The sequence below is a fragment of the Homo sapiens genome, chromosome 1, assembly GCF_000001405.40.
Source record: "Homo sapiens chromosome 1, GRCh38.p14 Primary Assembly".
NCBI classification, from domain to species: Eukaryota; Metazoa; Chordata; class Mammalia; order Primates; family Hominidae; genus Homo; species Homo sapiens.
Window position 1 is genome coordinate 234,708,266 of NC_000001.11, and position 24,531 is coordinate 234,732,796.

Genomic DNA, 24,531 nt, shown 5'->3' on the forward strand with positions numbered 1-24,531 from the left:
ATTAGTCCGTTTTCACACTGCTGATAAAGACATACTTGAGACTGGGCAACTTACAAAAGAAAGAGGTTTAATGGACTCACAGTTCCACATGGCTGGGGAGGCCTCATAATCACGGTGGAAGGTGAAAGACACTTCTCACATGGCAGTGGACAAGAGAAGAGAACTTGTGCGGGAAACTCCCCTTTATAAAACCATCAGATCTCGTGAGACTTATTCACTATCACGAGAACAGCACTAGAAAGACCCACCCCCATGATTCAATTACCTCCTACCTGGTCCCTCCCATGACACATGGGAATTGTGGGGGCTATAATTCAGGAAGAGATTTGGGTGGGGACACAGCAAAAACCATATGGTCATGGTATTAGAAGGTGGGGCTTTAGGAGGTGATTAGGTCATGAATGTGGAGCCTTCTTGAATGGGATTAGCACCCTTATAAAAGGGACCCAGAGAACTCCCTCACCCCTTCTATCATGTGACAATGAAGTGAGAAGGCACCACCTATGAACCAGGAAGTGGGTCTTCACCAGACGTTAGATTAGCCAGTACATTTACCTTGGACTTCCCAGCCTGCAGAACAGTGAGAAATACATCTCTGTTGTTTACAAGCTGCCCCCTCTATGTGTTTTGTTATAGCAGCATATATGGACTTAGACTAGCCTTGTTATAATGAGACAATGGTGAGAACCTCTTTTGGAGAGGAAGGTGTGGAAGGCCTGTCTGAGGAGACGACATTTAAGCAGAGATCTGGAAGATACACAGTGAGAATTCCAGGGAAAGAGAGGAGGGAATCATTTGTGCAAAGGACCTGAGGCAAGAGGAAAGACCTGAGGCAGTTCCAGGAAGTGCCAGGAGGCCGATGGTGCTAGAAGGAAGAGGAGCATGGTGAGAGTGAGGTCAGAGATGAGCCAGTAGGGCAGGCATGTGGCCACCAAAGAATGTGAACTCATTCTAAACTCGTTGGGACGTGAACTGGTGACGTGCCTGGAGCTAAGATGGCTCTGGCCCTGTGTGGAGAATGGGTTGAAGGAACACAGACGCAGCAGCAGAACCGGTGAGTTTTGCCTCAGGGAAATTCACATTCAAGGGGACAATCATCTCAGTCTGAAGGGTACCCGGGAGTTTGACAGGTGAAGAGACCTCTTTCAGGCAGAGGGAACAAAATAAGCCACAGTAAGTATGCTTGGACCTGCATAGAAGTAGAAGGAAGATGAGGGGTGACTGAAAGGAAGAGCAGTCAAAGATGAGGCGGGGAAGCAAGCCGACTGGGTGTCAGGAGCAGGCTCAGGGACTTGGGCTTGGCCGGTGAGCAGTCAAGGTGCACAGAGCTGTTCCTGGGTAGCGCCTCTCATGGTGCCGCTGACTCCACCGGGGTGACCGCTGTGCCCGGGGCTGCTGGTCAGGATGCAAAAGCACTTTAGAGTGAAGGTCACCTCAGGCAACAGGCAAAACAGACGGGGCTGAAGTGAGCGCCTTTCGCCACTTGAGCCCTGAAGTGTCCCAGTGCCCTGCACAGTTGCTAGGAGACACCCATGCAAGCAGGGGCTCAGGAGGGGGTACAGGAGGCACCAGGCTCAGGCCTCCCTCAGGCTCCAGTACTTCCTTCTCTGCAAAGCCTCTTTGCCAGCCTCAGGCCTCCCTCAGGCTCCAGTACTTCCTTCTCTGCAAAGCCTCTTTGCCAGCCTCAGGCCTCCAGGGCCTTCTCTGAGCAACTGTTGCTCAGAGAGAATTCAGTTTTGCTCTTATTACCAGCCACCCGGCATGCGGATCTTGCTAGTCACCACTGTCCTCAGATACTGGGCTCAGGCTGGGCCTACACTGGGACGTGGAGCCTGCCCTGCCCAGCCCCACCCCAGCCATCTGTTGGCCTCAGATGATTTGTGTGATGGTGACAGTCAGCCCCAGGGAGTCTTGTCCAGGGCCAGGGGAAATGCAGGGCACCACAGGTTCTGCTCCAGGACAGGCCTGTGCTGAGGGTCTGGGCAGAGGTAGAAGCAACTGCTTTCTAGAAGGCATAAGCGCTCAGCTCAGTATGACCCATAAAGCTGGGATGAGGAACAGCCTCTCATATCTAAGCCAGACACAGCACTGCTCCAGGCCAGTGCCTCAAGGAAGGATGGCCATTGGGCCCCTCCAAGAGGCAGTTTTGAGGAGCCCTGGGTGGGGATCCCCACTCTTCACATACAATAGCATTCATTTGGAGGGCACCAGATACAGGAACAGTGGTGGAGATTTCATGAACAAGCGGCGTCAACAAGGGGCTGCAGGAGAGAGGTGTGTGAACACATATGAACCACCTGCTGGAAGCTCCCAGAATCATATGGGCGGGGCAGTGGGGGAGGGGAGGACTCAGTGGGATGCCATAGGTCCTGGGTCAGTCAACAGGAGCAAGGGTGCTACAGCTATTACCATCACTGTGAGACCTTGGACGAGCTAAGTAAAATGTGCTCCTCTAGAGTTCAGGGACCCCTCACCTTGTACCGACGGCAATGTCACCTCTAAGATGTCCCAGAATAGCTCCAATTCCAATATCACATGCATGAGTGTTCCTATATGTATGTTCATTTGTTAGACACCATTTTTCATTCATTGGATTAAAAATTGTTTACTATACCTCCTTCTATTTTATTTATTAATTTCGCTCACTTATATAGCACAATGTCTTGCACAGAAAAGACATTGAATACATATCTGCTAAGTGATTGACTAATGGAATCATAGAAATACCTTTCAGATGAATGATGGAAGGTTTGTTTTTTAAAAGCAACTTGGCACATTGCATTTGGTTCATAGTCACCTAGCAGCCTCAGCTCAGCTGTAGAGTGAGTGAGAGAGCTGTGTTTGACAAAGGGTGAGATGCCGTCGCATAGCTTGAAATCCAGTCCACACAGAGCCAGTCTTTGGAGTGCGTCCCCGAAGCCAGGCCATAGCACAGCCAATACACTGGGCACACACAAAGCACAGGCCCAGCTTCATAGATTTTTCTCTTTCAATTTCCAAGGCTGATTTAAAGACTGACTCTAGTGAATCAGGGTCATGGTGAAAGACTAGGGAAAGAATGAAGTCGAGATAATCCATTTTTAGCAGTCAATGTCAAAGTTTTATCCCTTTGGCTGGGTCTGGTTTAATCAATAGTTAAGAATTTGGTTAACTGCTAATGAGTAATTTATATGTTTTTGTAAGAAATGTATGAGAGAAATAGAAATGGAAAGAGTGGCTCTGGAAGGTTAAAGACAATAAACTTCCTGATAAGGCTGAAGAATCTTTCCTTGGACTCCAGTTCAGTTAATGGCATCTCCCTCCACTCAGTTATTAAATTGGAATCTGTGAGTCATCCTGGACCATCCTCCTCCTCCTTCTTCCCCCAATCTCGTTGTTCATCAAATTCTACTGATTTTCCCACGTATTTACCTAATCTCTCTCCTCCTCTCTGTAATACTGAGGAAATGGCAGTACCTACTTCATAAGGTGGTGGTGAGAGTGAAATGCTAAGGCAATAAAGTGTCAAGCACAGTGAACAGCACCACCAATAAATGTTACTGAATATTCCTTTTTTTTTTTTTTTGAGATGAAGTCTCACTCTGTCTCCCAGGCTGGAGTGCAGTGGTGCAATCATAGCTCACTGCAGCCTCAAACTCCTGGGCTACAGGGCTTCTCCCATCTCAGCCTCCCAAGTAGCTAGGACTATAGACATGAACTACCACACCTGGCTAATTTTTTATTTCTTTAGAGGTGGTATCGCACTATGTTGCCCAGGCTGGTCACAAACTCTCGGCCTTAAGCGGTCCTCCTGCCTAGGCCTGATCCCAAAGTGCTGGGATTATAGATGTGAGCCACCACACCTGGCCTAAGAAAGACTCTAATCTACTATCAGGAGCTCAAAACAGTCATGATTTATGTTAGAAAGATAAGAAAAGGTAAACATTTCTTAACCTTTGATGTTGTAAACAGATACAGTACCTATACCTTGCTGTTGTGATCAAAATTAAAATCCACTAGACTGGGCGTGGTGGCTCATGCCTGTAATCCCAGCACTTTGGGAGGCTGAGGCAGGTGGATCACGAGGTCAAGAGATCGAGACCAGCCAGGCCAACATGGTGAAACCCCGTCTCTACTAAAAATACAAAAATCAGCTGGGTGTGGTGGCACGTGCCTGTACTCCCAGCTACTTGGGAGGCTGAGGCAGGAGAATTGCTTGAACCCGGAGGGACGGAGGTTACAGTGAGCCAAGATCACACCAGTGCACTCCAGCCTGGGCAGCTGAGTGAGACTCCGTCTCAAAAAACAAAAAAAAAAATCCACTAAAAAATCATTAAATTTTGAGTCATTTGTTAGTCTATATGCATTTTCTGATTCAATGGTTCTTAAAGTACCATGACAACTACTACTACTACTACAAGACGGTCTGAAATAATTTTGTTTTTTCTTATTAAATATAGGTCCTCATCCTTGAACCAGGTGAGAACTTCTAGCTTACTGGGTAAAGTCCAATTAACGTGGTGCAGAATTCCATCCATGGCAGGGCTCCTGCTGTCTCCAGCCTCATCTCCAGGCACACCCTGCACCCTTGAGAAGACAATGCTTCCGTGTCCACCAGTTCATTCCTTCCAGACACATCCCAGTGGTGTCTAGCTCAGGTCTCAGCTCCTGGAAAGGGACAAGGACGCCCCAGAGTCTGCTTTTTTGACACTTACCTTCTGGTCCCCCTGAAAAATCATGCTGCATCACGCCTGCACATTGTCCTTTCTGCGGAAATGTCCTGTCTCCCCATCTCTATCTGCCAAAGACCCACGCATAATGCAAACAATTCAGGTTTCACCCTTTGCAGTGAACTTTGTACAGCTCTCCCAGGTAAGTGGGCTCCCTGTACTGGTTCCTTGCCCATGCCTCTCTCGTGTCACTCCCCAGCTGGTAGGGCAATAGTCCTTGATCTGTCAGAACTCCTGGTTGAAGTGTAGGTATCACCTACACACAGTAAGGCTCCTTAGTGTTATGAAAACCCACTCATATGCTGGCACAGAACTCTCTCTTCCCCCAGCAATTGATCCAGCAATTCTCAATCCAGGCTGCACACTAAAGTCATCTGGGGAGCTTTTTAAAAAGCACCACTGCCAGGTTTCCTCCCCAGATAATCCAGTTTAATGGGTCTTGGGTGGGGCCCAAGCATAGGTATTATTTACAGGTTCCCTAAGTGAGGCTACTGGACAGCAGGAGTTGAGAAAAACTCATACAGAGGTACAAAAATAAAGGCTGGATGATGCGGCCCTTCAGGAAGCTCCTGCACATCTCACCGGCATATCGAGGGCATGAACTAGGTCATGGGGACGAGGCAGAATCTCACAGGCACCTCCCTGATGAAAGTGGCGCGAAGCACTGCCTTGCAGCGTCGCTCTGGGGCCTGTCGTTTGCCTGGGTCTAGCTTAGCAAGGGCAATGGCAAGAAGGGGTTTGGGAGTTAACAGACTGTTTCATTCCAAGGGTCAAGAGTTGGTGGTTGGTAGCAGTGAGTGGGTCTATATTAGCCTCCTTGCTGGAAGGAGGGCCGGTAACGTTGTCCCCATATTTGCCATCTGAGCGGACACTTCTGGAATATTCCAAGATGTGCCAATCCTTGGCCCTTGGAATTAATAGTCTCCTGACTCCCAAACCCCTTCTTGCCATTGCCCTTGCTAAGCTAGACCCAGGCAAAAGACAAACCCCAGAGCAACAGTGCGAGGCGGTGCTCCACGCTCCATCTCAGAGCAGAGCAACCTTAGGACCCCATTTCAGAATCCCCTCAATGAAGTGTATGGTGGAAGGGCCTGATTCGTGTCATGAGAGGTAACAACACCACTACCAACATCCTGCTTCTCGTCCCCCAGCCCCTGCAAGGGTGCAGTGTGGCTACAGGGGGTGTCTCTGCAGTGATTCCTCCCTTTACAGGGAATGAGTCAGGTCCTCTGAAGAAAAGGTGTAAAAAGAAAAAAGAGTGTGTTGTCAATACTTCAAAGCCTCAGCCAGCATCATCTGATCTAGGAAAGGTGTGATGGGGTAGGATAATCGATCGCTGCTTAATTTCCACTGGTTTCTGCAGGGTGCAGACCAGGAAATTAGACATTGGGCCTTCCCAGCAGGTCAAGAAACCCATGTCAGATACAGCAAAATCAGCCTCTGTGGCCAGGGGACAGAGGCGTGTGGCGTCTACAAGAAACAAAGAACACAAAGGTTTCCAAGACCATACTCTGAAATCTCTGCTCCTTAGAACAGACTCTAAGCTACTACAGAAAAACCACAAGGAAGTTTTCCATCTGCTTTTTTCCCCTAGTATCTTCTCCCTATCTCAAAAACAAAAAAACAAAACAAAACAAAACTTTAAAAATCCATGAAGCATTAGCTATTTTTAGAAATTTTAACTTTTCTATTATCTAACAATACATATTTCCTGAGCATTTTAAGTCCATTTTAATTTTGTGTACTATTTAATGGTAAATCGTGGTATATATCCTCAACATAATACTTCATATCCTTGCAGTCCGATTATTCAGTCAGCCTTCACTTCTTCAGATTAAACAATATAACTTCAATTTGCATATGTTCTCCAGGTTATTGCAAAATAAACCTGTTTCAGTGCATTTGAAGTATAGAACAGTGATCATTTTAAATCACACTCAATTGCCCAGCTTTTCATTTGAATAAAATTCAGGTACCGTTTAGTTCACAAAGATAATTTTACTTCAAGATTTACAGTCGTGCCTCTCATCTAAAGCAATCTTCCTCACCCTCTCCCCGGCACTATTTCTCACCAGCCCTCAAACCCACAAGGCCTCATTCAAAAATGATGAATCAAGAAGAAAATATAATGTAAATAGCTGCTGTATTAGAAAAATGCACTGGGAATCTTTGAAAGCCAGGGAGAATATATTAATATTCTATATTTCTTTTATCATACCAAAAAAAAAAAAAAAGGCAGGCTATGCCTTAGAGCAAGGCTGCAACAGTGTGTCCCATGTAGGAAAGATATTTGCAAGGCCGTCTGGCCTAAATGCTCACCATTAACCAAAGCAGGAGCTCTGGGAAGCTCCTGGGAAGTCCAGCCATGTGGGGCCACCAAAACATAATGGAAAATGCCCACCACACACTACACGCTTCTTCATTACATTGGCTCAATACTGAGAATGACCGCACAGGACAGCCCTCTTGCATGACACTAAGGTTTTGTAGGTGAACTGCCACCTGTTAGATTTCCACTTCCTTTGTTCTCCTACAGTGAGGTCTTTGTCCTGAGTTGAGGGGAGGACAGATTTTGGTGGGAAGATGATCTGAGTTTAAAGGGGCTCTGAGAGATCCACATGCAGCTGTCTAGTAGGTTAATGGGAATACCCATCCAACACTCTGGAAAGAGGTCCTTGCTGGAGATGGAAATCTAGGGTCCTTCACATTGGCATGGTTGTTGGAACCACGGCTGGGTCAGAGTTGTTGAGGAGCACAGACCTCTGAAGGGGGAAGAACAAGGAACCTTGGGAGCACCGATAATTGCTGGATACACGAGCTCTGCGACAGGAAGGCAAGCATAAGGCTGTCATGCCATAAAAACTAAGGCAAGAGAGAGTTTCCATGCGAGGGAGGGGTCACACGAACTGAATACAGTCCAAAGGACTGTAGGCAGTGGATGATACTATTTAGGAGGTCTAAATATAGCTCTAGTAATCTCAGCAAGAATAAGTTACAATGAAACAATTACGGGTAAGGGAGAAGCTAGCTAGATTTCACTGGACTAAAAAGGAGTAAGAAAGGAGTGGCTGGGCACCATGGCTCACGTCTGTAATCCCAGCACTTTGGAAGGCTGAGGCAGGCGGGTCACGAGGTCAACAGATCGAGACCATCCGGGTGAACATAGTGAAACCCTGTTTCTACTAAAAATAGAAAAACTAGCTGGGCGTGGTAGCGCATGCCTGTAATCCCAGCTACTCGGGAGGCTGAGGCAGGAGAATCACTTGAACCCGGGAGGCAGAGGTTGCAGTGAGCCGAGATCATGCCATTATTGCACTCCAGCCTGGCGACAGCTAGAGACTCTGTCTCAAGAAAAGAAAAAAAAAGAAAGAAAGAAAGGAGTAAATGGTGCCAGCAAGATAGCTACATAGAATGGAAAGAGCAGGGAGGGCCGTGTGGACACTTAGCTCCTCTGTCTGCAGGTTGTACAACTTCAATCGTCCGGCAGGCCCGTGAGCACCTTCGGTGTGACAGTCTGTTCAGCACTGGGGCTATAAAGATAAACAAGACAAAGTCCATGTGCTCAAAGAGCTCTCCGTCTGTGATCCCAGAGAGACATCTGGACAGAGACGTCAAAATACAAAACAATAAATTCTGGACAGAGCAGTGTTTAGCATGAATCGTGATCTGGAGGACAAAGACACAGTCCTTGCTGTCACGGAGCTCACCATTGAGGGATGCCCACAGGCAGCTGAAATACAGCGGAAGTGATAAATCTTTAACAGAGGGTGTTTTACTCGGGGCACCCAGAAAAAAATGAAATTTTAACTGCAGATTCAGGAAGTTATCCATGAAAAGGCGGCAGTTGATTCCAAACTCCAACAATGCGCTGTCAAGGCTCATGGGCTGGCTGAGACCGTCACTTCAGGCAGAGGATGTAGCGTTCTGAGGGGAAGAAAAAGTTTTAAAAAGAAACTTCCAGAGACACTGTCTTGATGCAAGGAGTAAACATAAAGTACAAATCTGGAACACAGCGTCAGACTTATTAGGAAAGTTACTCGGATCAGGGCCTCTGAAATCACCCAGACCCGAGCTCCGTAACTGCTCTGGTATAGAGCTGGGCTCTGTGCTATGGAGACAGTACTGACATTTCATCTTCCCGAGGCACGTCCCCTGGCTCCGTGATGTGGCCGTACAACAAGCCTGCCCTTTGTTACGGTGTGTGCACACATGTAAGTGCTCTCGACAAATCTGTGTTCCTGCCTCTCCTCCAGTGCTTCTCAGGCAACGACGTTACCCTTGGCCTCAAGGAAAAAAAACAGACACCGTTGGTTGGAGATTACTGAGTAAACCTACAACGTCCTCATGCTTAAGGCCCCGTCTGTGATTCCACCATGAAGGTCACATATCCTCTCTCCTAAAAAGACCTCATGTCTCCATTTAAGTATTTGTTTGGGAAAATGCTGTATTGTATTGAAATTATTGTATAAAGATAGGGCCTTGGTACAAAATCTAGGAATGTGAGGTTTAAACACAGTTGGATAAATTTTTAAAAATCACATTGCAAATTTTAATTAAGGCGAGGGAGCTTAATTTAAACAAATAAATGATTAGTGTTGACTACCAGAGTATAAACAAGACTGTAGTTTTAAAATGTAATCAGCGTTCTCCCCATTTTCAGACATTATCCTGGTCTGAATTCCTCACCCTGTCCTCTCTTTGCAACACGAGGCACAGTGAGCTGTGGTCTGGACTGTTTTTGCAGCCCCTCTTTGGCGACAACAGGGTAGAACCCACAGCCATCAAATCAGCCTCTAGGTTGGCCCAAAACATCACAGTGGCCTGGACATGATGGAGTATTTCCAGGCACATAGAAACTTGGCCTTTATTCTTCCGGGTTGTAAATCTGGCACCTCTCAGGATCAGTAAATAAGCTTTTTTAAAAGCCCAAACAAACCATAAGGAAATCCTGCATTCTGAAACAAAAGGTATGAAAGCTAAGTCAAGACCCACACTGCCATTGTGTCACTTGCCAGGATGTGAGCTGCTGCCTTGGGAGAAAGATAACATGAAAGAGGCTATAATTGCAGGGCTGAGACTCCAGGTCCCATGAAAACAGGATAAAAAATAGCAAGCAAGAAGTGTTCCCTGAGCTTTCAGCTGGGCTAGGGTGGGGAAAAAAATCAAAAGAGCAACACTCTCCTGAAGTTGTTCAAGAAATGGAGACACAGGGGGAGGAGAATGAGAAAGAACACCAAGGCCAAGTTAACGTGTTTAGGAAAAATATGGGGGCAGGAGAGAAAAAAAAAAAAGGCGGAATGATTTAATGCCAGCCAAAGTAACTAAGGGGAAGAAGGTGTGTTTTTATAAACATGTTTGCTTTTGTGTGTGTGTGTGTGTGTGTGTGTGTGTGTGTGTGTGCCGGGGGAAAAGTGTGGAAAAAGAGAAACTAGGTCCATTAATGAAGGAGTAGGGTGTTGCAAGGGAAATGACTAAATTAGCTGAGCTTTTAAACTGCTTTTAAAAAATTAGCTTAAATGAGAAAAATAAAGATAAGAGGTAAGAATGATTGGGAGGATGCAGTCAATAAACTATTGATAAGGAAGGGTTAAAGGAGTATTTAGAGAAATTGAAGATATGCAAATGAGAGGTCAAAATAACAGTAGCCCAGTGTAGTTAGTGGAACTAGCTGAAGAATTTGGAACACCACGGCGGGACTTCATAACCACTCAGTCTACAGGGAGTACTAAGAACACATTCTAACATTGTACAGCACCTTATACTAACATTGTGCATGATAAATGCATTCATTGTTCTCACATTCTTACATTCATCTGAGTCTGGTCTTTACCTCCACTATCAGCAGCAATGTGATAGGACTGACCAAAGCGAAAGATGTTTAAAACTCTTTTTGGTATGAAACAGAAGCAAAATCACTTCTCTCGGTAATAAAGAAGGACATTGAGGCATTGAGTAGTCAAAGGAATTGCTGAAGATGAAACACCAAGTCAGTGACTAAGTTCTGACCCATTTTTAAGAATTCAGACATATTCCCCCAAAAAGAAAGAATGTATTTAACGCAGGTTTTCAGATAGGGAGTCCCACTAGCGCTAGGAACCATTTCAGAGGTAGACCTTGCCTGCATTCCTAACGTGACTATTGCTGTAGTTAATTTTCCCCATTTGCCTACTCCAAGTTACACTTAGCCAATGGCACAGCTTAAAATCGGAACACCAAACCACTCTTTCAACCCTTACCCCGAGCAAATGTCAGAAGGCCTCCAGCTATTCTTTGTGAATTGCAAAATGAACCAGTGTCTGCCCCTTTACCCTTCCAGAGCCGTGGAGTCTAGGTCTATGCCCAAGAGAGATGCATGAAATGTTTTACTGGTTTCTGCAAATAAGCCAGACCAAGGGAGAAACAGACCTTCAGCAAGTAGTAACCAAATGCAAGTTTTGAGAATGTGGAGGGAGAGGAGGTAAGGTTAATGAACACCCCTATACATCTTTTCAGTGTCTCTTGCTGAATTACCCAGCCCTGAGCTAACACCTTGCTGAATCACCCAGTCCTGATGCAGGTTTATGCTGTGTCCTGAATTGGTCTCTGGTGTCCCTTTCAGCTTCTGCCCCTGCAAACTGGGCAGTGCATCCAAGGTCTCCTGCTAACATCTGTCACTCATCGGAGCCACCTGATCTGAAGCGTTGTCAGGGTCAGTATTTTTGTTCTGCCTGCTGTTTTGCTAATGGATCAATGGCAGTCAGTAAAGAACAAACCGTGCCAGAAAAGAATGTCCTCTTCTTCTCAGCTGACTCAGCTCGGGACAGGAAGACAGGGGGCATCTGGCATTTGGGGAAGCCCTTGATTGTCCCTTAGGAAATAACTGAAAATGGATTTGTGTTGGCCTGGTTCTAAGAAGGTCACCCAGGTTGAATTTGAAAAGCAGAGGCACTGTGTCCACAAAAGAAAGTGATAAGCAGCAAGCCATTTCTCAAAGCTAATGCCCGAGTGTGTACCACCGGGATCCATTTTATATCTCTCTACAGATTGGTGTGTTTTTCATGACAACCATCCCCATAGCAACCAGGTGTCCAGGCACTAAATTGATCTCAAGGATATGAAATCTCAGCCTGGTGAGGGAAGCCCACTCTGACTGCAGTTTCCTTGGAGTCGTTTCACATCGAGGGCTGGTGTGCAGGTCATGGGGAATGGGGCTTCTTCCTGAGGGCTCAGCTGGACACAAGGGACAGCCCTGGTGAGAGGGGAGCCTTTCCTTTTTCATGTTTACTAATAATCCAGAAGAAAGGGTAAGAAACTGGTAAATCAAATTCAAATGAAACTAAATGGGAAGATGTTGCAAACGCCAGTTGGATGGAGGAAATTATGTGGACAGCCACGGAAGAAATGACCACGTAAGACCTGCCCTGGAAAGGCCACAGTTGGAACCTCTGGGAGCCAATATTCCAAAGCAAGAAGCTAGAAGAGATTTACCAAGCAGAATTATTTGAGGAGATTGGGGCGAGGGAGAGATGATAATTAAGCTGAAAAAAAGGGACATTACAGGGTGCGCAGAGCTGAGGGCCGTGCAGGGAAGGGGCAGAGCAGTTCTAGCTGGACGAAAGCTTAGGTCTTGGTCAGGGAAATGAGGTGCTCCCATGGATTGTCCAGGTGAGCCCAGAGAGCGCACCCAGGGAAGAATGTTGAGGGCATGGGGGGTCATAGGAAGGAGTGAGGGAGAGCCCACACAACAGTATCCTCTTAAGGCAGCTCATGCTCGCCCAGAGGCAGCTACCTGCCATCAGGCTGTCCCTAAGGTCAGCCTTGCTAATGCTGAGCCCCTGCCTTCCACAGTTACCCTGTCCTGGGGCTTTGGTGATGGTCCTCCTCACCTCAACAGTGATGGACAAGGGCTCCTTTTGCTTTGAAGTGATGCCCACGTGCTTACTGCACAAGGAGGGCAGGGAAGAGCCAGGAAGGGAGGAACCGCCACGCCAGCGGGGACAACGTGACGACACGGAACAAAGGGACATGCCGTTGGAATCCTAGGAAGAAGTTTCTTAAGTGACATCTAAATAGGCTGCAAATGGCCTTTTCGAGGGAACTCCCATCCCTGTGATAATCTAAACCAGAATCGGATGAGATGGGGTGGACCGCATCTCGGGAGGAGCACATGGGTGTGAGGGAGGAGGGACGTGGCAACCTCATGCTCCCTTCTCTCTGTAATCACTCTGTCAACCCACGATTCTGGGAGGGGAGTATGAAATGTGTGGTTTGTCTATTGCATGAAGATATTTGGATCCCCCAAATCTAGGTGTGTCTGGAAGAAAGCTGCCCTCTCCCAGAGGAAAGCTGGGGGTTAAATCCATAACTGTCAGTGTGTCTGGCAACAAAATAAAAGGAAACCACATTCTCCATGAATGAAGGGAGAAGCAGGAAGGAGGTAGTTTTTTCTTTTTTAAAAACATGAATAAGATCCTCCAATATGTTTGAGATTATTGAGCAAATTCTTTGAAAAGGGCCCTGGGTCACTAACCAACAGATTGTGGATGTAGAAACCACATTCTTCCAACTTCCCTTCCCATCCTGACCCCAGAGATAGCAGGTTGGGTATGCTGGGGGTCTTTGTTTAGTTAACCATTAACAATTCATAAAAGTGCAGATCCCTGCACGATAAGTCCAGTCCTTGGAATGTTATTAGAAAATCCTATTTCTAGTCTGTTATGAAACAGAGGTTTTGATGTGCTGCCAGGTTTATGGGGAACTCTGGAAACAACACTTGCTTCTCTGAGAAGCTGAGGCTGGGTGGGTGTTACATAAAGCTTTCCTAGCAACTTAGCTTTATCACAGAATGGGAGGCTGCAGTGGAAAATATCAGACGAGTTAATGCAAAACCTGAGCCAACCCACTATCCCCATTTGCTCTAAGGCCAGCCAGCAAATCTGTGGGAGTGATTTTAACCCACGGGGGAGCGGCAGGCCTAGGGCTCCGGTTGACTGCAGATTCAGCCCAAGAATGCTCGGGCAGCTCAGAGCTGAAAGGCACCTTCAGACAGACCTCACGGAAGGCAAAACAGCTCTTCTTGACTCTGAACCAATTGCTGATTGAAATTCACACAAACACACCTTCCTTTTCCTTCTTTGGGTCATTCCCAGTTTCTCCGGGCACTGCAGGAACAAAGGGGAGTAAGGTCACTTCGTCGAATCCCTGCCAAGGGAAATGCGTCTAATGCATGACGGTGTCTCTGAAGTCAATGGATAAGAATCTCATTTCTAAACTCTTGGATCCAAAAGTATGCCTCTTAGGATGGAATCCTTCTGTGGTGTTGGTTGACAGCTTTTTGGGTTTTCTGAAAAGCATGTGTCCAGTCCATTGTTTTTAATCTCCCAGGGCTGGCGTGGGGGTGGAAGGAGCTGGAGGAAGAAACCATGCAAAAATCCATTTGGAAGCTGCAAATCAAAGCTAATAGCCTCTCCTGATCTGCTCACACACGGTGCCCAACCGGTGTTGTAGAGAGGAAGAGGAAAAGATTCCCCAGACATGAGGACAAGTGTAAGGCGAAGGGCTGGAAAGGGGAGGGGAGCTCGTGTCAAGAGGGAGCTGGAACTCAAGTGGGGAGAGGAAAGGCAGTGGGAGAGAAGAGAGCTCCTTCGTGGGCGGCCTCTGCGACATCTGCCCCAGGGGCCTAACGCCTCCCTCTGTGATGTCTCTGCACCCAGGCTCTGTTGCTGCTTCCTCAACCATTATTCTCATTTGGGAAGGGAAAGAGTGGTTTTATAAAACCGGTGTCCACGTGAAGGCAGCCATCCAGTTGGTGGAGAAATTTTCCCCACATAAATTAGATTACTCCAAGTCTAGATGGTTCCTAGCCCCTAGTCCTTCTCGCTGAAGACGGTACAAGGAGGGTGGCAAGGCAGAGGTCTGGAGGGAGAAGAGTAAAAAGCTCCTTGTTTGCGTTAAAACAAACAAACCCCAAGATATGCCAGTTGTTTCAGAAGGTGAATTCCTACTTCAGGTAGTCCTTAAGAGTCACCAGAAATCCAGGAGCGAAACTGCACTGAGATTCCATTAACTGTGAAAAAAAATAACAAAATAAACGGGCCACACAAAAAGAAGAAAACCGGCCTGCCCAACGAGGGCTGCGGAGTGCAGCCAGAGTCCCTTGTACCAGTAGATCATATTGTGTCCATTTAATAATAATAAGAAGGGGCACCCTCCGCGGAGGCTTCACCCAAGGAGTCCTGTCCCACCCGCAGGCTCGGGCGCCCGCCTGCAGACCTCGGACGCCGGCCAGCGTCTTGTCGTGCAAGGCCGTCCACAGCCAGCATGGCCTTAATGAGCCCATTTCAATTGAAATGAGATCAATACTACTCATTTTTCTCTTGCTGGCTCCCGAGTGATTCATGAATCTGAAAACTAGTTCATGAATCAGAGCAGGGTGGGGTGGAGGGGCTGGGGCGGAGGCAGGCAGGGGAACATTTGTGCAGTCGGCAAACCTCGATTCCTTTAATGAACCTAGCCATGAGTTGCATAACGCTGGCCTGCCTGCTAGTTTAAAACAGTCTTTTCGGAAGCAGCTTTCAGCTTGACTTATTCACCTATTTTCCTCCTGGAAAGGGGAAGAATGACACTGGGTACTGATTGTGTGTCTGTCTGTCTCAGGGAATACTTTTTTGCTCTTCGTGTGTGGAACCGTAGGGGCTTCCCTGGACAAGAACGTGTGTCCATGTGTGTGTGCATACATGTATAATGGTCTTTGTGTGCACATCCTCTGTGTGTGTGTGTGTGTGTGTGTGTGTGTGTGTGTGTGTATGAGTGAGCAATGTGTGACCGGCCTCGGGCCCTTTAAACCTGAACAGGAGCCAAGTTCATTTCTCAGCGGAGCTTCATAAGGAAGCACGAGCTGGGGCAGTTGGAAACCACATCCCTGTGAGTGCTGATTACAGCCTACTAAGGAAAATGAGATTTTTATCTCACAGGAATTCAGTTATAAAAATAAAATACAGCGTCTGGCTTGATTCAGCTAAATGTACAAGCACTAGGGTGTTTTTAATTTAACAGAGAAGCTGGACAAGAAGAATGACCTAAAACATTGCATTTAAAGAAAGTCAGAGGCGAGGGGGAGGCTACAGGAAGTGAGTGGGAGTAGAGATGTGTGTGTGAGAGAGAGAGAGAGAGAGAAATGGAGGGAGAGGGAGGGAGGAAGGGAGGAGGGAGGTGGAGAGAGAGAGAAAAAAACCACCCTGCTGGCAAATGAATGCAGCAGGGATGATGTCATTGGAACAGTTGGAGGAGAGAGGAGAAAAACAACTCGGAGCTGTGCTAATCCTGTTTGCTGCCCTGAAGGGAATGGAAGGCGGCCAAGGCAGGGAGTTCTGGGAAACCATATAAGGGTGCCAAACAAGCATTGCCGCCAACATTAGGAACTGACAGCTTTGTTCTTTGTAACTTGGCTGCCCGCCAGAGGCCTCATTTCAGCTCTGCGGCATGATTACCCTGGACGGCCGCCAGCCCCGCGCTGAGAGCTCCTTTTCTTCTCTCCGAGCTTTTTTTTTTTTTCCTCTTTCCCTCTGCCAAACATGCAGCAGTTACCATGGCAGTGGAAAGTAAAGTTTTAAAAAAACACAACAAAGTAGAGAGGCACGCCTTTATCCAGATGTGCCACATGAGCAGATAGAAAAGGCAGTTCACCTATTCATCGGGGCCTTTGACTGCAGAAGAAAACACTGGGGCACTGGCTGTCAAGTTCGGGAGGGAGGTGACTCCAGGATAAACAGAGCAGCGAGCAGCCCTGGCTGCAGACAGAGAGGGGCTGGCTCCCAGGCCCTATTTTCCTTCCCTCTCTCTCTCCCTTCCTGGGGCATTGTGGAGTGCGTAATGTGAAACGGAAAATGTCATGATTTCCACTGGGAACGTGTCCACGGTTTTGAGAAAGCTCCAGAAACTCAGGTCCATAAAGCACTGAGGGGAGGAGGAAGGGAGGGAGGAGAATGGGCGGTCACAGTGCCCTCTGGTCACCAAGGTGAACCCAGCGAGCAGGAGCCAGTACGTGGCTGTGGCCCAAGCCTCTGCCTGCTGCTGGAGCATGGCCAGGCCGTCGTCGTAGGGTTGCAGGCTGTTCGGGGGTCCTGGGTCCCACGGAGCCCTGGGACCTGAGGGACAGGGATGTTCCCTTTTCCCCCTTGGAGGTGTAGCCAGTAGTTTGGCTTTACAGGGGGACTCTGTGAAGAGTCCAGTTCCCTATTTTTAATCAGGTTCATTTTTCACCTGCTTAGAAAGTGGAACATCTCCTGAAAGGTGACAAGTCGTGATCAAAGGCAAGTCTCCAGGCAGAGAGTTGGCAGGTTTCCGAAGCAAAGGTTACTTAGAAGTGGAGGCTCCACTGCCAGCTTCCCCCCGCTGCAAAATCTGACACTCCTCACCCTCAGGGTTCAGCAAGATTCTCGGAAAGGCCTTTTCTGATTCTAGGAGGTGCTGCAGCAGGAGCTGACTCGGCCATTTCCTGGCCTCTTTAGTTGGAAGATGACAGAAAGGCGGAAGCAGGGACTGCTATTGTGAGGCCCATGGCAGCCTTCCTGTAAAACAAATTGGCAAATTGTCACCTTCAGATGGACCACAGCTGGCCCTCTGAACAGCCCTCCTTGGCCTTTCCAGAGTGTACATGATTGTGTCCCATGTCCAGGGAGAGGACAGAGCCACCAGGAGGGTCAAGGTCGTGGAGGGAAACATGGGTGAGTAAGAGATGGACCCCAGAAATCCCTCCTCATGCTCCTCCCTGCTGTTATCACAGGCCTTGGCTGCCTTTCTCAGGAGGCATTCCCAGCTCAGAGTTGGGTATGCACTAAGTTAAAGCAAAGAGGGCCCTACTGGAGTGAGGGCAAGGGGACTTGGTTGACCTCCTTTGGGGATGTTGCGAAGCAGACCCATTCCCGCCCTTGCTGGCTGGAATGCCCAGTCCTTCCCTGCCTCCCCGGGCCCCACACACCCTGGCTGACACCTGTGCTGAGGACATGGCCGAGGAGAGCTGAAAGGAGCAGAGGAGGGGAGAAACGTGTACCAGTTCCCATACAAACAGGACCCACAGGCTTGGGGTCCCCAGAGGTTGGCAGAGCCAGGGGATACTGGGAGCTGGAGGCCAGACAGGGGCACACTTTTGCCTCAGGTTGTTGAGGCAGTACAAATAAAAACTTGTTGCTGGGCAGAATTGATCCAAAAACGAACTTCAGTTTCTTCAGAAGAGGCTCAGGTTTGGAAGTAGAACTTGATATGGCGGTTGTCCCCTTTCCTTAACCTGCGACTCAAAACCAAGGGCAAGTGGATCTCTCACATCAGACACAGGAGCAGCCTCCTAGAGTCTGCTGGAGCAGCTACCCAGAGTGAGAGAGGGCTACTGACTTTGGAGCTGATGCTCAGGTCAGGGCCTGGTTGAGCCACATCCCCGTCCTTCATTCCCAGCCCCTGGTGACCTTCTAGAAGCAACACTGAGTTCGGCGGCTTGGTGTCCACTGGGGCACAGCATGTCTGAGCCTAACCCAACAGCCTCTCATTGGCTTAGCTTGTCTTCCCAGGTACTGCCTGGAAAAGCAGCCTCTGGCGGGGATGTCTGGGCCTGCCCTTCCTTCCTATCTCGACCTGGGTGGAAATCCGACTCCCTGGGCCTTGTTTTCAGAGTTCCAGTGTTCTCTCTCATAGCCTGTAAGTGGAGAAGGGCAAGCTGAAGAAGGAACAGGCTGTTTTCTCAGGGGGAAGCGGGGCAGCTCGTGTACGCCTCCCAGCATCGCTGCGTGATGGTTTCATCCGGCCCTGAGGATATGAATTTGGTTGCTCCAGGAGCTCCCCCAGCCTCAAGATCCATGAATTGGATGGAGTATGCATGAAACTGCAGAAAACCCATGACCCTCCCTTACACAGGAATGTTGCTTTCCTTTTAGGCTTGTCAGGCAGACTGAAGAGGAGGATCCTAGGAGACTTTTCTTTCCTGAGAAACCCAAAGAAAGCAACAGCAGATCCGTAGGGTGTGGGGGAAGGGGGCAGGGGAAGTGTATTTTCAGTAACAGAGACCTAAAGCAGAAACTATTTGCAAACAGGTGACCTGCTCAATTTCTCCTGTGATCTTTCATTTCTAATGCTGGTTTTTCCCCCTCATTAAAAAACTCAATTTAATTTCTTGCTTCACCTGCATGGTAAAAATAATTACATACAGACATTAAGCCTGCACTAAAAATCAATATACAGAGAGATTCCACCTTTGCTGTTAGTCATCACAGGGCTTGTTGGCCACAAATAGAAAGCATTTAAAATACTTCTCTTTGTAGAAAGACAAGTGAAACCAGTCACTAGCCCTGTTGCTGAAGAGTGGCCTTTGTATGTTAGTGAAAGTCAAGGGTCAGGAAGGAAGATGAGGCTCTAACAGGGATTTCATGGCGTCCAGAGCCCTGTTTTCTTATTGGTGAAAGATACAAGGGCTGATCACCATCAGAGAACACTAACTTCAGATGCAGGGCCTCCACGCCACTGCTGCTGCCTTAATGGACATAAGCATTCTTCTTTATTTCCTGGAGCTCAAGCCTGAACCACAGGGGGTATAAGGAGAACGCCGTAAGGCACTGCTGTTCCCAGGCCCCCGCCCTCCCATCTGCACAGCCATCTCATCGCAGTCTCCTTCAGTGTCCTTGGACTCCCAGGGCTGCTGGGGTTCAGGACAGGCTGTTTGCATGAAGAGGGTCTTTATAGCTCCACCCAGAGGGGTTTGGAGAGTTTGACGATTGCTGCAGGAGATGGGAAGCTCTTGCCATATGAGGACCCAAATAAGTATTTAGGAGCCTGCAAAATCAGCTGGGCCCTAATCTACTCTCCAGCTGTTTCTAAGAGAGGTGATCTGAAAAACTGTCACCGAGGAAACTGGTTGTGAGGATTTTTAAGAGACTTGGGAGCCTGGCTAATGTTTGAATGTTTGTGATATGACATGCTGTATCTTGCATCTTCCTGGTACAAGGTAGATCAGCGGCTGCACACATCAGTGGGTCTTTGGATAGTCTGATTTAAATGTATTCTGGCCGGGCACAGTGGCTCACAGCTGTAATACCAGCACTTTGGGAGGCCGAGAAGGGCAGATCACCAGGTCAGGAGATTGAGACCAGCCTGGCCAACACGGTGAAACCCCGTCTCTACTAAAAATACAAAAATTAGCTGGGCGTGGTGGCGCGTGCCTGTAATCCCAGCTACTCGGGAGGCTGAGGCAGGATAATCGCTTGAACCAGGGAGTCAGAGGTTGCGGTGAGCCGAGATCGCGCCACTGTCCTGGCGACAGAGTGAGACTCTGTCTCAAAAAAAAAAAAAATGTATTCCATCTGGACGTTTCTAGGATTAGTCAACAGGTTCATTGTTTTTATCTCTACAGCTTGTTTCCCATTGCAACAAGGCCTCCCACTGCAAGACAGAGAGGAAGAGCTCTGCCACCCATGTGTGTAAGGCCATGTGGATACCTCATGACATCCTGGAAGGCCACAGGGCTGTGGCCGCCATTCAACTTAGGTTGACATGGCCAAGACCATAGAGCTAATGAGTGGCAATGTTGAGCCTAGACCCTAAGTCTCTAGATTCCTCCTGCAGGGCGCTGGGTGTTGTGGGGGCGTCTCTGAGGTGGGTCAGAGTGAACCTGCAGGGGCCACTTAAAACCCTTGCAGGCCTTGGCTCCTTCTCCAAAGAAGCCCAAGCCAGAATGGCAGTAGAAGTATCTCCTGTGACCGCAAGCCAGGCACTGATTCTTAGGTTGCTTCCTGGTCCTTCTGTATGTATTGCTAAGAGCAGCAGTGTTCTTTCTTGCCACAGAGTGAGTCCTGGTGCATAAATCTGTGCTCATGTCACCCAGTGCTTTCACCTGCCTGTTCGTGATAATCCTGGGACAAGACCCTCACCTGCCTGCACGGGGGCGGGGGGGGCGTGAGGTCTAGAGACCCAAATGAAGGCCTCACTGAATGGACTTCCCTGAGGTGTCGGGGCCACTGATGTGGTGCCAGGGCCTGTCTATTCTTCCTGCTAGCCAAAGGCTGGCTTCTCAAGCCGCTGGATGAATGGGGAGCCTGGAGATGTTGAACAAGTCACGTACGTCTCTGATTGCCTCGATTTCCCCATTTTGGCCGATGGCATCGCTAAAGCATTTGATGATTCCACCGTCAAGTGTGAGAGCTACAGGAGATAAAAATTTTAAATTACTAATCACCCATGGTAATGCATGGTAATGCATGCTGAACAAACAGTGAGGAGGCCAGACGCCACCGCATTCCAAAACAGGAAGCACTCAGGAACTCTACCAGAGCATGGCTGCCCTCTCCACATCTGCACTACTGGACTGAGGGCTTAGTTGATCCATCTCTTCCACAGATTTGCAGAGATATGCTCAAGCGTGACTTAAGTGACTTAAGGCTCATGTGTTGCCTCCCTATGTCAAGCTTTTCACCCAGTGAGCTCTTTGAGAACAGGGGCTGCATTTTAGGACATCTCCCCCAGTGTCTTCGTAGAACCAGGCAAGACACACGGCCTTGTTGGAAGTGCCAAACATCTATTCTTCATCAGCAGAATGGATGAGCCCCTGAAAGGCATGAGTTGAGCTGCGCAGTCTGAACTCAGGGAAGTCCTCGCAGCGGGCTCCCAATTCCTGCCTCTCAAGAAGCAAGCTGAGCCTTAAAGATGGCTGAAAATGTGAACAGTCTCAGGGCCACGCAGACCCACCTGAGCAGTTGCTCTCTGATGTCTCACCGAGCCATCCACCATCCCAGCGAAGAAAGGGCCTGCAAGCAGACCAGAAAATGCCCCATTCAGTCATGCTGCTTAGTCATGGCCCAAACCTGCAGCGTTTAATTCTGCTCACTGTGACTTTATTGCAATGGCACACACATTTACATCACTTTATGTGCGATAACAGTAGAGAAGTTAGTTAGGTTTTTCTGTTTTTTGTTTTTTTAAGATAATGAGAAAAGTCTGTAATATTCAGCCAAAATGTATCCTTGTGGCTGGTGTAGATTTTTGGCGAAATGACACTGTACATAATCAGAAGAAGGCAAACATGCATATTATCTCCATCTCCTTATAACTGCACGAGATAACATAAAACTGCAGGAAGTATCAAGCATAAGAATAAAAGCCGTCTATTGAAGTCTACGTGGCATCCCCTGCGTGCCCCAGGAACACCCTTCGGTGGATTAGGATGAGCACGCTGGAAAATACACACCCTGCCGCTGCATCTGGCTAATGCCAGGCCCCAGCCCCTGTTCCTTAAGCCACAGATCCCCTGAGTGTCTGTGTTGTGTCTGCTGGAATTTAGTTTAGGCAGGTGACGTGGCTCCAAAGAAAGTCACAGGCTGGTTTCTGCTGCAGAGATTTGTGTCCACTTCATGCATGTTTATTGCCCGTTAACTCTATATGAAGCCACAGCAAAGGGGAAGTGATGTTAGAGAGGTCACAATCTAGTTAGTGGGGTCAAGACAAGAGATGGAGACAGCAGGTCTTGACACTCTGGAATCATTCTGATTTGTAAATATGACAATTGATGAAGGGGAAGAGTGCCTAGTCTCCAGGAGGGATTTCCTGCTGAGACCCACCAGGTATACAGTCGGTCCTTGTCTGCAGTGACCCCAGAGACATTTATTGCAACACCTGCACATCAGGTTGCAGCAACTGTGTTCTGCCTGGCCCAGGACAGACTCTGCTCCACCTAAGAGTCAGCCTCTCCAAGGCAGCAGTGGGGTTGGGAAGAGGGGAGGAGGGACCTCCATGCTGCACCAGCTCCTACAGAGCCAGCTCAAGCTACATTTCAGGACATCTTGGAGGCTACTTCTGGACAATTGTGGATTAGCTAAGTGACAGTCCAGGAACCTGGATCCCATCCTGGCCAGGGAGTTGTGGCTTCTGAGATAAGGACTTTGTGCATTGGAGATAAACTGAAGTGTTTCTGCCTCTGCTCCCTCCAGGGGCGGCTTATGGCACAGGCTCACCAAATTGCAGGCCCCAGAGCACCTGCAACCTCAGGGAGCTCAGGGGCTTCCCAGCATGGGCAGGGGAAGCCACAGATTCACTTCTCCTACAGATGCACAGACCCTGGGGTGGATGGTCTAAAGCTCAGGATCTTATAATGCAGAGAAGATGGAATAGAGCAGGAACCAGGCCCCTGTCTGGAGGAAGGAACCAATAACAACAACAACAAAACTACTGACAATGTGCGCGCTTTACAATTTTCAAAGCGCTCTCATCTCAGTCAAGGAAGGATGCATTCTTTCCACAGGCTGACGTTCAAAACCCAACCACCAGAAACATGAAGATAAAACAAAAGGAACCACCAGAAACAAACAAGACACCTGTCCATCCTCCAGGTTTGCAAATCAGATCAAGTTCTGACAACTGGTAAAGAGGAAGATGAGAAGATCCTGCCAGATAAATTCTCTGGTACCTTCATTGATCTCATTCTTTCACCATCAAAGGGGAATGCAGTAGTGCCAGCAGGAGCAGAAAAAAAAAAAAAAAACCCTAAAAAGAACAAGAGAGACTAGTCAAAGCTAGTACAGTGTTTCCCTGGTACTGAGTCATACTTTTACAATGACCCAGGCCCACGGCCTCAACTGATGACAAATAATGAGAATCCAACAATCATTCTTTCTCGCATATTCACTTGTGAATAAATGCAAGAACTGGTGTATTTGTATATGCTGTGTTTATATCTACATGATTCATTAGATTCATTAAAACCCAACTGGTAATTAGGAAAAACACTCACAAAGTTAGAAAAAAAACAGCGACGTAGACAGTAAGTTTGAATTTTAAATGGAGAAGCATTCTGTTGGTGCTTCCTGAGGTGGCGGAGGGTGTATGTGTGTGAGGGCATTGGAACAGGAAGTTGCTGGGATGTGGACCTGAGCCACCAGCACACACAGCCACGCACAGGAGGCTGATGGCTGCGGCCCAGTCGCTCACATGCCAGCATCCCCACCCTGGCTAGTCCCGACTGCCATGTTCCCAAATCTTTCTGGTTCTGGCCCCCTCGGGCTTTCTCTGGCATCTCCGGGTCTCCTGGTAGAAAGCAGACTTCTTTGGTTGTGCACTCAGATCCTTCCCAGGACCTGGCCAATGTGGTGCTGTTTCTGCTCCAGGCCACCAAGGATAACCTCCCTGCAGAATCTAACTCTCCCTTGTGCCCACATGGTCCATCTCTGCCTCAAACCAGGAGTCACCGGCTCTCTGGAGAGGTGTTAATCAGCACCCACCCTCTACCTGGCCCTCTCCAGGCATGAAGACAGCCATGAACATGGACAAAGTACCTGCTCCCAGGGAGCTCACAGTCTAGTGGGTAGAATCCAAGAACCAAATGAATAACCACCTAAGTCAACTAGGAAATAGTGCATGGTGAGAACTGCTCTGTAGAGAATCAGAAGAGAATAGGAGAGGCTGGGCATGGTGGCTTACGCCTGTAATGCCAGAGCTTTGGGGGGCCGAGGAGGGAGGATCACTTGAGACCAGGAGTTCAAGACCAGCCTGGGCAATATAGTGAGACCCCATGTCTACAAAAAAGTTTAAAAAATGAGCAGAGCATGGCAGCATGCGCTTGTAGTCCCAGCTACTCAGGAGGCCGAGGCAGGACAATCGCTTGAATCTAGGAGTTCGAGGCTGCAGAAGCTATGATCGCACCACTGCACTCCGGCCTGGGCGACAGAGTGAGACTGTCTCTAACGAAAAAGACAGGACAGGAGAGGGCACCTGGGCAGTCAGCCGAGGTCTCTCTGCAGAGGTGATCTTCAAGCTTAAGAGAAGCCATCTCTGTGAGACCTGGGGAGTGGCATTCCAGGAGGAGGGAGCAGCT

The 24,531-nt window shown here is 48.3% G+C and overlaps 2 long non-coding RNA genes across 2 annotated transcripts, besides 9 other annotated features; both read left to right on the forward strand.

Moving 5' to 3' along the window:
• On the forward strand, window positions 1,092-9,314 carry LOC124904556 (uncharacterized). The gene is made up of 2 exons (XR_007066953.1): window positions 1,092-1,173; window positions 4,440-9,314. It is a non-coding gene; the product is annotated as an uncharacterized LOC124904556 (long non-coding RNA).
• Window positions 1,152-1,652: an enhancer, noted in NCBI's record as "H3K4me1 hESC enhancer chr1:234845164-234845664 (GRCh37/hg19 assembly coordinates)". NCBI's record gives its function as "activates a minimal SCP1, AML or CMV promoter by ChIP-STARR-seq in primed H9 embryonic stem cells {active_cell/tissue: H9 hESC(primed)}" and the evidence as "EXISTENCE:reporter gene assay evidence [ECO:0000049][PMID:30033119]".
• Window positions 1,653-2,153: an enhancer, noted in NCBI's record as "H3K4me1 hESC enhancer chr1:234845665-234846165 (GRCh37/hg19 assembly coordinates)". NCBI's record gives its function as "activates a minimal SCP1, AML or CMV promoter by ChIP-STARR-seq in primed H9 embryonic stem cells {active_cell/tissue: H9 hESC(primed)}" and the evidence as "EXISTENCE:reporter gene assay evidence [ECO:0000049][PMID:30033119]".
• Window positions 4,697-4,991: a silencer, noted in NCBI's record as "tiled region #10113; K562 Repressive non-DNase unmatched - State 23:Low". NCBI's record gives its function as "represses a minimal TATA promoter and a strong SV40 promoter by Sharpr-MPRA in K562 cells {active_cell/tissue: K562}" and the evidence as "EXISTENCE:reporter gene assay evidence [ECO:0000049][PMID:27701403]".
• Window positions 14,994-15,556: an enhancer, noted in NCBI's record as "H3K27ac-H3K4me1 hESC enhancer chr1:234859006-234859568 (GRCh37/hg19 assembly coordinates)". NCBI's record gives its function as "activates a minimal SCP1, AML or CMV promoter by ChIP-STARR-seq in primed H9 embryonic stem cells {active_cell/tissue: H9 hESC(primed)}" and the evidence as "EXISTENCE:reporter gene assay evidence [ECO:0000049][PMID:30033119]".
• LINC01132 (long intergenic non-protein coding RNA 1132) lies at window positions 15,777-23,378 on the forward strand. Its single transcript, NR_038856.1, has 3 exons — window positions 15,777-15,817; window positions 16,958-17,413; window positions 20,083-23,378. It is a non-coding gene; the product is annotated as a long intergenic non-protein coding RNA 1132 (long non-coding RNA).
• Window positions 16,121-16,683: an enhancer, noted in NCBI's record as "NANOG-H3K27ac-H3K4me1 hESC enhancer chr1:234860133-234860695 (GRCh37/hg19 assembly coordinates)". NCBI's record gives its function as "activates a minimal SCP1, AML or CMV promoter by ChIP-STARR-seq in naive H9 embryonic stem cells {active_cell/tissue: H9 hESC(naive)}" and the evidence as "EXISTENCE:reporter gene assay evidence [ECO:0000049][PMID:30033119]".
• Window positions 16,684-17,247: an enhancer, noted in NCBI's record as "H3K27ac-H3K4me1 hESC enhancer chr1:234860696-234861259 (GRCh37/hg19 assembly coordinates)". NCBI's record gives its function as "activates a minimal SCP1, AML or CMV promoter by ChIP-STARR-seq in naive H9 embryonic stem cells {active_cell/tissue: H9 hESC(naive)}" and the evidence as "EXISTENCE:reporter gene assay evidence [ECO:0000049][PMID:30033119]".
• Window positions 17,811-18,374: an enhancer, noted in NCBI's record as "H3K27ac-H3K4me1 hESC enhancer chr1:234861823-234862386 (GRCh37/hg19 assembly coordinates)". NCBI's record gives its function as "activates a minimal SCP1, AML or CMV promoter by ChIP-STARR-seq in naive H9 embryonic stem cells {active_cell/tissue: H9 hESC(naive)}" and the evidence as "EXISTENCE:reporter gene assay evidence [ECO:0000049][PMID:30033119]".
• Window positions 19,917-20,211: a silencer, noted in NCBI's record as "tiled region #12432; HepG2 Repressive non-DNase unmatched - State 11:FaireW". NCBI's record gives its function as "represses a minimal TATA promoter and a strong SV40 promoter by Sharpr-MPRA in HepG2 cells {active_cell/tissue: HepG2}" and the evidence as "EXISTENCE:reporter gene assay evidence [ECO:0000049][PMID:27701403]".
• Window positions 22,105-22,174: an enhancer, noted in NCBI's record as "active region_2765". NCBI's record gives its function as "activates an Ori minimal core promoter by ATAC-STARR-seq in GM12878 lymphoblastoid cells {active_cell/tissue: GM12878}" and the evidence as "EXISTENCE:reporter gene assay evidence [ECO:0000049][PMID:35858748]".
• Window positions 23,379-24,531: the final 1,153 nt, after the last annotated feature.